The sequence below is a fragment of the Homo sapiens genome, chromosome 11 (assembly GCF_000001405.40).
Source record: "Homo sapiens chromosome 11, GRCh38.p14 Primary Assembly".
Classification (NCBI taxonomy): Eukaryota; Metazoa; Chordata; class Mammalia; order Primates; family Hominidae; genus Homo; species Homo sapiens.
In genome coordinates this window covers 28,125,967-28,138,275 of record NC_000011.10, presented here as the reverse complement: position 1 = coordinate 28,138,275, position 12,309 = coordinate 28,125,967, and the positions used below count along the sequence as shown (strand labels likewise).

Below are 12,309 nucleotides of genomic sequence, written 5' to 3'. Positions count from 1 at the left end.
AAAAAGGACTTTCTCTCAGTCAAATGAATTATTTTTCTCCATTTCATTTTGCTACTCTTAATGCACACATGAGAGGCCCTAAGATAACTTCTGATAGCCTAGGACACCTGGCGAGAAACAGAGAAGGTGCCACAAACCCCATTTTGGAAAAAAAAAAAATCCCTTGTTTTCCACATGGAACTCCAGCAATTAAAATTGGATAGATTCCTCTCAAAATCTGTTTTTGTCTTCCAGCTATACCTGTTTACTGGTCCCTAGAAACTGCATGCTTTCCTAGCCCTGCTCTTGAAGGGTACCACCCTGAGGCCAATGATCTGACTAGGAGATTAGAAAATGAAGAATCTTACAATTACTGGATCTTCTTCTGTCTGTGTCTGTATAATCATACATGTGTTATGTGTGTGATGGTTTTATAAAAAATAGCTCTAATTGATTGGCCTAAAGAAAAATAAGTGCTTAGATCCAATATTTTTTGAAAAAAAAAAAATAAAAGCTGTAATGCCTGTTAGTTCAAGTGACTTTAATCTTTGAGAAATAGAAATATTTTTGAAGACAAATGGTAAAATACAAATGTCTTCAAAATGTAAATATGTGATCTGAATTATGCTGGTCAGATACTAGGTTTGCTACATGTTCGAAGGTTACAAACTGCTTCTTTGGCTTTTGAGAACTGTTTGACTTGCCTGCTTTACAATTTGATAAGGCTTGAGGACATATGGAATTAACCACGCCCTTAACTATGTTGGAAAGAGTCAGACTTTATCTGCACCTAGCACATAATTAAAACAACTTGCCAGCCTTTACACTAAAATTAAAAATTGCTAACAGTTACTGTTATAACATATAATTGAGATTATTGACAACAGATTCACCCGCAAGGTGCATAAAGAAAGTAAAATGTGTTTTTAGTAAAAGATTATCAGAAGGCATGGGAGTGTAAATTTCAGACTAGGGTTAAAGGATTGTTTATAAGATAAAGCTGAAGGTTTAAACAAAGAGTGGAAGGTTTATAAAAATTAATCTTCCAAAAGAAATTCTATATGAGAACATATTGATTAACTTCAAAAAGGTATTATACGGTCTTTCCATAAATTGCGCATTGAAATAGAAGTACAACAAGGTTTTATTAACACACTGATCTGCTACTTAACAGAAATTTGTAAAGTGTGATAAAAGGTTTACCAAAATCTCACCTCATGGTCAAACTGGCTAAGATTGGATAAAAATTATCTATAAAGTTCCACTAAAACAAAAAATTGGGGTTGACATTAATAGCAGACTAACGTAAGGGTGAAATCTGGCTTTTTCTCTCTTAAACAGGATTTTCATGTAACAGTAAAAGATAATGAAAGGTTTTACCTTTTTTTTTTTTAAGTCATCATTTTGGCAAAAGAACTTACGGTAATCTGGAATTCTATTCCATAATATCACATGCTTTTGAACCTCTAACATATATATTTAACATATTTCCCAAAATCAAACTTCAGCTTCAAAAATTGTCTTTCCTGACCCCTAGCTTTTGGATGCTAGAGGACCCCTAGAGCATCCAAGAGAGAGGTAAACAGGATTATTTGACATGTTTAGTTACAGAGGATTGCCAAAGTGATGTTTAATCTTCCATAGGTTATATTTTAATGAATAATATTAATATGTGTTTTAAAATCATATAGGATGTCTACCATTCTAATGTCTGAGTATATGCTATCAATCATAATTAAGGTTATTATGTTATTGTAAACCACATGTATTAGTCTGTTCTCATTCTGCTAATAAAGATATACCCAAGACCGGGTAATTTATAAAGGAAAGAGGTTTAATGGACTCACAGTTCCACACGGATGGGGAGCCCACACAATCATGGCAGAAGGCAAAGGAGAAGCAAAGGCACATCTTACATGGCAGCAAGCAAGAGAGCTTGTGCAGCAGAACTCCCATTTATAAAACCATCAGATCTCGTGAGACTTACTACTATGAGAACAGTATAGGGAAAATTGCCCCCATGATTCAATTATCTCCACCTGGCCCACCCTCGACACAAGGGGGATTATTACAATTCAAGGTAAAATTTGGGTGGGGACACAGCCAAACCATATTGCTACAGAAATAAACAAATTTCTTTGTCCATAGTGTTTTTGAGGTAACTACCCTGGACATTTTGCTATTCACAGACAATTGTTGTCTAGCTTTGATCCTTTTCAAAAGATGGCTTATAATCAGATATAGTACTTTGACAGGTGCTCTTAAAGGCAGGTTTCTGATATCTTTGGAGATTGGGACACTGGAATAGAGAGAAACATACAGGACTCATGAAGAGCTGAAAGGTTCATGAATATCAAGTAGAACAAGAGTTAACAGAATGGACTGAACTAACAGAAAACTGAAGTAATCTTTTTAACCTTTTGTGCTTAAAATGTTGCTCATCCTTGTTTTGTTTTTAGAGTCAAGGAAATTTATTTTGAGCTAATTACAGCCTTTAATAATTGAGTAAGGTATACTCCTGTGAACAAAATTTGGAGGATATTTATTTCTCCCCGCCTGGCATCTCCAGAATTTGGAAACTATTTGTGAGTATTCTTTAACTTACGGCAATATAGTTATTTGCATCTATGCAATAATAATTCATTTTCCTTTGCAACAGGACACAATTGGAGAAACTGGTTGTTTCACCAAGGTTTTGACTGGAAGGGTTTGCTTCCCTTTAAGGAATCAAGCATGGCTTGCAGAGCCAATAAAAGCCCCTTGGGAAATCTGGCCTCATACCTTGTCTACACAGTCCCCATAAAGGGTTACTAACCTGTGGTGAGTAAAGAATATCACTTTCTCACAGGCCCAGGAGCCCCAGGTTCTTGTGACCTCAAAAAGGGAGGAATTTACCCAACTCATAGGTATTTGAGGGTACAAACCCATGACTGGGCTCAGCTTTTAAAGGTCTTATCTGAGATTCCTTGTGGAACAGAGTTCCATTAAAGCCAACTTAGAAGCCTATGTGAAAAATAATTATTCTTGCTGCACCAATAATCTGGTCAAGTATAGGACTAAAGTTTATTTTGCCAACAACTCAGTCCTATCATGATTTGTTTTTCACAAAAATGAGGACTGAAGAAAGAAAAATTATGCTTCAAAACTTATCATATACCTGTTATTAAATTCTAATCTCATCAGTTGTTTTTAAGTTTTTGCCTACATTTTAAACTAACCCTGCTTATTCCTGTGAACCAACCAGCAATAACTGGCTGTAGCTCAGAAGAAACAAAAGGGATGGGTGATAAAAATCTGGATCAATATTCTAGTCCTGGAAAATTATCCTGCAAATCCTACCATATGATAAGAGTAAACACAGAGCCCATAACTCAAGGTTTCTTTGTTTGGAAAAATCAAGAGAGCTACCAAAGCCAAGCCCCATGCACCCAAATCTTAGCAGGTATAGTAACTATAGCTAGCTACCAGCTATCTGAGCACATTGGCAGCCTTGGGATTTTTGAGCAGTCCTTAACCCCTTGTTTCGTTTTGATATATGTCTTCTAATAACCCGAATTGTTCCTTTTTGCTTGGAGGCCATTAAACTTCAAATGGTGATGCAAATGAAACCATGCATGGACATGCCATTCTTCCCAGGACCCTTAAACTGACCTCAGGAGGAGTCCTAACTGCCGCTTTTCCAAAACAGCGCCTCCTGTCAGCAGGAAGCAGTTAAGAGAGGTCTTCGTCCACTTTTTCGCAACAGCAGTTGCTGAAGGAGGGAATGAAAGGGGTTAGCCAGCTTGCTTTTGACAGACAGTACCAGAAGGATCCCTGGAGAACCTCCAACCCATGTTTTGTGCAGATAAGGGAACTTGCACAGGGGCCTTGCCTAAATATGTCCACCGCCAACTAAGAGCCCACATACGCACGGGGGAATGGGGTGGAGCTACCAGGAATTTGCGCTTTATACAAATAGGGAACCCAGACCATTGGTATATATGTAAAAAGCCCTTTTATTCAACTGTGAAGTGGGCAACCGGCAACCTGCTTTCAGGACCCCTCTTTTTGCTGAGAGCTTTCCTTTTCACCTAACAAAATCCACTACACCTACTCGCTCTTCAATGTCCACGTGGCTATTTCTTCCTGGTCATGAGACAAGAACATGGACCTTGCTGAGCTAAGCAGCAAAAAAATCTTGAATCAACAACAGGGCCAGTTCACATGTTGTTCCGTTAGGAATATCTTTCCTGTTCTTTGAATCTGAGCTCACAAGCTTTTCCCAAACCTCCATATTAAAAAAGAAGTCTGTTGGTCACTCGTATAGTAATGCATACCTTTCCTTTAGAGCAGTCAACATAGTTGAAACTTTGCCTTTATTTCTGTGTATATTACTTCTGTATCCTGCATAAAAAATTACCCTAAAATTTAGTGGCTTAAACCAAATATATATTCATTATCTCATGGTTTCTATGGATCAGGAATTCAGTAGCAGCTTAACCAGGTGATTCTAACTTGGGGTCTCTTTCACAAGGTTGCGGGCTTGGTTAAGACTAGAGGATATATTCCCAAGACTGCTCAACCACTGGGTGCTGATTGTTGGTAGGAGCCTCAATTCCACTCTACATAGGCCTCTCCATGGGCTGCTTAAGCATACAATGATATGGTAGCTGTCCCACCTTGAGCAAGCAATCCAAAAGACAGCATGGAAGAAGCCAAAATTTATTTTATGACTTCCCCTTTGAAGTTGCACACTATCATTTTTGCAGTATCTTATGGATTACACTGGTCAACCTAATTCAATGCAGCAGGGAACTACATTTGAGCATGATTATTAGGCAGTGATAATCAATGGAACCCATCTTGTAGACTGGCTACCATAGTGTGTTAAGAGAAATATATTTTTTTCAAAATCTTCCTCAATTGATCAAATGCCAAGACCTAAAGTGACCACAGTAAGCCTGAAATTGTCTTGAAGGTTTTTAACACGAGTCATAGCTCCCATCTATAAGGCATCTATTCCCTGCCATTGTAGTAAAAAACGCTCCCTTTAGAGGATTCTACAATCTCCTTGCACCCTTGAACCACCATTTCTAGCCCAGCTATTCCAAGAGACATTTTAAAATCAATTTTTCTAAATATTCCAAGAAACAAAAATTTACAAAATTACGATACCCTAAGATCTTACTTTTCGTCTTTTTCTTAAATCAGATTGCTCTTAAGCCATACCCCCAGTTAGGATATTGTTCTTTATGACATATTTCAACAAATAACACCAATTAATACTTTTTACTTTGTAAGACTTAGAAACTGTAATTAAATTCCTTATGCATCATAATTCTAATATGTTTTTGGACTGCCTTCTAAGGAGATAAAAATTAAAACTCAAAAAAATGTATCTTCTTGTTAAAAATACAAACACCAATTTTGTAAGTAAGTATTAATTCAGTACTCTAAGTTCAAATAAAACATACTAAGATTATAATATAATGCAGTGGGGAAAATAGAAGATTTTGAAATTCAGTGTTCACAAACTTTTCAGGAATCTGTGGTAATGAAAACAAAACACAAGCAACTGTATCATATATCAAAGATGATGAAATAATTCTCCTGAAATGTAGTAATACCATAAGCTACCCCAATGTGAATTTTCAAAGGATAATTTAAAAATTCACTGTAGGGTAAATATAAACTCAGTTATAGTTTATGAAAATCTCATGGAAGAAACCCTCCGCAAGACAAACTTAAAAGCAGCTGAAATTAATTAATTGATTTAACTGATTCATTTTCAAGATTATGATAAAAACAGAGAGAGAGAAGAAATTATTTTCAACCAGTTTAAAACACAGAATAAGTAATATATTAAAGGTAAGGTTAAGGGACAAGAACAAATTGGATTTTATGAAATATTCAATTTTTCTCACATAAAATTATATATATTTTAATATGAAAGAAATGTAACTTAATGAAAGATACCACCCATATCACCCATACAATATAATTGTATATTATTACATATTACCATTTAAATCAGTCAAGAGACCATTATACTATTCCATTTTAAGACAATGTCTGTTGCTATGACCTTTACAGGGCAAAAAAAGAGGTTCGTTTTTACAAGTCTGGCTTCTTTGCAAGGAGACCCAAGAAGCATAACAATTAATGCTAATCATAGTGATTTCCATAGCATGGGCATTTCCCCTAGGAAAGATATTGAAACTAGAAATATATTTCACAAGGTATGCATACTTCAGGAACTACTTCTAATCTTCACTATGGGTTTTACATCACAAATGAAGCTAAAAACCTCATCAGACTTGGTTTAATGCCCCAGGTAAATAATCATTTTTTTAATCACTCTAAATTTTATTTAAAATGAAGAATACTGTTCCACATTACAAAGGTCACCAAATTTAGAACAAGTACAACAACTAAATAGCTCAACAAGGCTAGACTTTATAACATTAATCTTTTGAAAGTAATACTTCCGATTTATCAGGATCATTAGAAGTAATCTGCTGCATATGAGACGATTCTTCCAAGACAACAAAAACTGTTAAAGTTGGCCAAAGGTGGCTCTATTAAAACTTTATCAATTTGAACAAAAGATAAAACTGCAATGATCATCTTCACTGATTCCAATGCATTTTAGTGCATTTGGATATGTTCACAATCAAACAGAAATACAAAGATTACATTTTATGCAACACATTTACCTAACAGCAAGAAAAAAATAAGAGAAATAAACATTTACCTGAGAAATATCAGGCATCTTTTGTGACTGCCTTCAAATGGCAAAAAAAAAAAAAAAAAAAATGCTTGGAAGTATAGTAGAAAGGAAGAAAAATGCTAATTTAGTTAGAAAGTATGCTGAAATTACACACTTTACCAAAACCAGTCAAGAATTCTCACTGGGGCCACCGGTGTTAACATAACCAGGCTACCAGGTAAACCTGGGCTAGAGATGGTGCGAGGAAAGAAGCTAAATGTGGACAGGAGGTTGAGATGGTAAGAAAACTTTACCACCTTGCCTCATGGCAATTTTATTTCAGGAACGTACTTGAAACTCTGTTGCCAGGTGATTCTCTGCTTCACATCTCTATCGTATTGGTCACTGTGCAAAATAGAAGCTTTCTCCTTGGGTCTAATCGACATATTGCTCTGTGCCTTCTTTCCTCTAACCTAGAAATGCTCAATGGGGGCATTCTGAAAATGTGTTTAGACTGTAATTTAAAAAAAAAAAATGGGAGGATGCCACTAGCACTTAATGGGTGAGCTACAGGAATGGTGGATATCCTGCAATGCACAAATGCACAGCACATGCTACAAAATAAACTGATCCAAGGTCTCCATGACTTACAGTGTCTATTCATGAAGGAGAGGGGGCAGCAACAATTATCCAAGCCTAAAACAAAATGTCATTTTTCATATCACACAGTACTTTTTATAAGGATTTAATTAATATACACTGAATTTTCTAGAAATGTAACTATTGCATAAATCAAAAGAAACTTAACCAAGAATAGCTCTCTACTTCAGAAAATCAAGTCATATTTAGCAATGCCATATGTCATATTTAAGTGGTCAAGTTTAAGTGTTTGTACTTATAAACAGAATAACCATGAATGCAACATCTGCGCATGTAGACTGACACAATGTCTCATACTTTGACAATATGTACACCTCAAATCCAGTGACCTTCATCTCTCTCAGTCAGTTGCTAGACCTTTCCATCAGCTCAACGTATTCTAACTGAAATTTGAAATATTCTGTTCTTTAAAGATCCAGTACTCACATGTATACATCTGCTTGTGTTTTCCCTTCTCTAATTTGAACAGCATGCCTTTCTTATAACACTTATTTTTTCAAATAGTATGACTATTATGGTTATGTGCATACAAACTATCCTACCTATTGGATTATAAACCCTGATATTTAAATCCATCCTCACACATATCACCCTACGCAAGGCTGCCAAGAAGGTGTGTTGGTTTTTGTTGGTTTTTTGAGACCAGGTCTCACTCTGTCACCCAGGCTGGAGTGCAGTGGTGTGATCACGGCTTACTGCAGCCTTGACCTCCAGGGCTCGTGTGATCCTCCAACCTCAGCCTCTCGAATAACTGGGACTGCAAGTGTACACCACCATATACAGCATTATTTTTTTTGTTTTGTAGAGATGGGGGTCTCACCACCTTGCCCAGGCTAATCGCGAACTCCTGAGCTCAAGCGATCCTCCAATTACAGCCTCTCAAAGGGCTGGGATTATATGCGTGAGCCACCATGCCAAGCCTGGTATGCTCTTTAAATGAAAGCCCTCTTCTCTTTTCCCCATGAATTGTGTACCCTAGCTTTTTCTCCATCAATTATAGATTTAGGTGATCAAATTGTATTCAGTGTCTTCTTAATACTGGTATTCCACAAAATAAGCCTTTAATTATAAGATAAATCTTCTGGGCATAGTTTATCCCCTCCACACTTATTCACTCACTATTTTAGCAATCCCCAGATCCCCCAACACAATGCAAAATACATAAAAAAATTAATACATGTTTATTGAATTCAACTTTTTAAAGTTCTTTTATAGCATATTTAAAAACTAATTATAAGGGGCTGAGCGCAGTGACTCACACCTGTAATCCCAGCACTTTGGAAGGCACAGACAGACAGACCACTTGAGGTCAGGAGTTCAAGATCAGCCTGGCCAACACGGTGAAATCCCATCTCTACTAAAAATATAAAAATCAGCCAGGCGTAGAGCTGCACACCTGTAGTCCCAGCTACTCAGGAGACTAAGGAGGGAGAATCTCTTGAACCTGGGAGGAGGAGGTTGCAGTGAGCCAAGATCGTGCCACTGCACTCCAGCCTAGGCAAGAGAGCAAGACTCCGTCTCAAAAGAAAAAAAAAAAAAAAGTAATTTTATATGATTTGAAGATTTTTTCCCAAGTTTTATATTTAAGAAAAAGTACAAACACCAATGTCAAAGTATGACTGTGTTTTTCTTCTGCAATGTCACAAAATCACTATATAAAATGTTAAGAAAATTGGGGGAAATCTAAACAATTTCAAATATTCAAGATAACCACTTATTCATAGACATGTTGACCTAGTCTACTGAGTTGCTGTGTAAATGAATAGCATCTAAAAGATTCCTCAAGTGTTTGACAGAGGAATACCTTTGTAAGCTAACCTTGAGAATATGTTATTAGAACATGTTTCTTTCTCCATCATGTCCTATGAGGACTTTCTCCATCATGTCCTATGAGGACAAGTTGAGAAATCCAGCAACAAAAGGACCATGTAAACAAAAAAGTTAGAAATTAAAAAAATAAAAAATAAAAGGATCCCCCAGTCTGAGTCATTAGAATAAATTAACCTAACAAAGAGGAAAACCATCAAAGGCTAATTTATACAGTATAGTGAATTTAATGTATTTGTACTCTCCTAAAACACCATTAGTACCACTTTAGATTAGACTAAAAAATTTAGTTGATGGTCAGAATATCCCAAATCACCTAAGACTAATTAAATAATAAAGTCTTAAGTACTAAATCTGAATGATCATAAAATTCATTTTATAGAATTTAGTTTCCCTACTCACACTTTTACAGCAAATCCCATATCCCTGAATTCTACAAAGGGAAAAAGAGTGATTGCATAGTTTCCGCTCACTTTTCAACTTTTACGCAAAACATTGCAAAATAAAACCACAGCGAAAGATTCATATAAAATGTCCATTGTAAAAAATTTAAGTTTCTATCACTAGCATTAAAATTATTTTGAGGAAAAACTATAGAAACTACAACATGTCCAATTTTTAAGAAGCTTGAAAATAAATGTATATAACATACATACATAATGTTGATTTTCAGCAAACAACACATTTACAAAACTGTACTCCCCGAATGTCTTTCTCATACAAACTATTTTCAATTTCTAGCATTATATTGATTAAAGCTAAATTATTATTTATATGATTATTTTAAACATTCTTATAGAATATGAATGTAGTATATAGTACCTAACAGCAACATGCATTAATCTAGAGATTATACTGTTATTTCTGGTTAATTTTTTTTCTATCCTTAATTTATTTTTTACCCAACCTATAAAACACCATTAATACATAAATAGGGAAACAAAGTTTCTATCTTGGCTAAAACGGTTGCCATATGAAAATGCCCACAGAGCATTCAATGGAAATTTACATGCAAGAAAATCCTTCCTTCTTTTCTATTAGGCATTATAATTCATAAAATAGCTATGAAAAGATACAAGTAAGAAATCACATTCAGACTCAAGTGGGTGTTGCCTGACACTTAATTTACCAGTCTCTGAATGGTGGTAAGTCAACTAATAGGTTGAATATTAGTCCAAGGCAATGTAGCTATAAACACATGAAAAGAAACAGCAAATTTCAAATAATGTACCAAAGATGAATAATGTCATGGTTACTAAGCTGGCAAACTTTTAACTGTCGGGGTGATTTCTTTGGTATACTTTCATGTAAATAAAAGTTTACATAAAATTTTTACACAGAAAAATTTATATAATTTTATATAGATTAATAGTTATAACAGTATTAATTGGTTCTATGTGGTAATGCTTATTCTACATAAAATAGCAATAAAATGCTTCTTTCAAATAAATTAAAGTCACTTTACAGATACAAGTTTCTAAATGAAATAAAATAATGTGTATACAGTGGATCAGCATGTGGGTGTTTTGGAACTTAAATATGATTAACAATAGCAAGGAAAAAGTTAAGAATAAATATTAAGAAAATAGCCCAAGTATTGAAAGTATCATAAACAATTTACCTTTCACTCCAGCTTCATGGCGCCAGAAAACAATCTTTTTCTTCAAGTCCTAGGTCCTCAACAGATACTGGATCTGTGGGCACCTTGATCTCAGACTTCCCTTCTCCAGAATTGTGAGAAATAAATGTCCATTTTTTTTTAAGCAACCTAGTCGTTCTAGCAGCCTGAACTCACACAGTATTTAATAAATGTCAGCTTTGTCCTATGCTTTTTACCTCTTAAATCTCCCTCAAATCTGCCCATTCTTCTCCAATGTCTCAACTATTACCACTCATTATCTTTTGTCTGGACAAAAGCCTCATAAGTAATCTGGACCAATCCATCCTCCACAGTGTAGAGAGAATTATCTTTTTAAAAAGCAGACTTAATCATCTCTCACCTCCACCTGCCTCTCCAGCCTCATCTTGCACCATCTCCCTCTTTGCATTTTCAGCACACTCACTCAGTGGCTTGCTTACAATCTTTCATTCTTACCAAGCTCCTTCCCAGCACAGAACTTTTGTACATGTTCCCTTTCCTCTTTGAAATGTTCTTTACCCTCCTCTTAACCTATTTAATTGTCTAGATTCTTTGTCCTTATGATTACTTCCCACTCAAGAAAATCTTACCACTTTAAATCCTCCTGTTCGGAGATCTAAGAGCACTATATACTCTTTCATGGCAGTGGAAATTTCATATTCACTTGAATAATTACTTGATAAATGCCCATTTCAACCACTAAATTGTAAGCTCCTTAAGGGCTAAGACCATGTCTAATTTTGTTCTATATTGCATATCCAGTACTAAGTGCATTGTACCTGATATACAGTAGAAACTTAATAGACATCTTCTGAATAAATAAGAGAATGGTTTAATTTTCACACTAAAACTCAGATATAACACCTCACTGCCATTTTTTAATTTCTCCCTATCCTTGCCTCTCTTCACCCAATCATTGCCACATCTATCTCCTCAATGTCTCTTTCTGTAGGACCTTTCTTTTCATTCCTCCATTCAATAATTATTTCAACAAATATTTATGGGGTATCTTCTACATATCAAATGCTCTTAGCACTGAGGATACAGTGGTAAAAGTCAGACAAAAATCCCACCTTTCAAGCTAGTGTGCTATGGAGGAAGGCGGTAGAGAAGGGAGTTGGGGGAGGAAGGGGCAGACAGTTAAGAAGAAAAAGAGAATGGTATATACAGCATATCACTGTTAAGTGCTAAGGAAAAAACAAACAAACAAGCAAGGAAGGAGGATACCAAACATTTGAAGATGGTAGTTGAAATTTCAGACAGGGTGGCCAGGGAAGGCATCCCTGAAAAGGTAACATCTGAATAACAACCAGAGTGAGAGAGTCAGCCATGTGTATATCTGTGGGATGTGTACTCTAGGTTTTCTGATTTAATGTGCTACCTACTTTCACCAAGAAAATCCCACCAATTTGCTTAGATTAAATGTACTGGAAAATTTCGTCAAGAAGATTCAATTGCTGGAGTGAGCATACTAAGATATAAGCACTAGCTGAAAAGAAATAAAGGCACCCAAAAA

At 35.6% G+C, this 12,309-nt stretch overlaps 1 protein-coding gene across 9 annotated transcripts in view; it reads right to left on the bottom strand.

Annotated features, from left to right (window-relative positions):
* The window catches only part of METTL15 (methyltransferase 15, mitochondrial 12S rRNA N4-cytidine), a 424,088-nt gene that overhangs the window by 394,200 nt on the left and 17,579 nt on the right, over window positions 1–12,309 (bottom strand). The window lies entirely within an intron of this gene.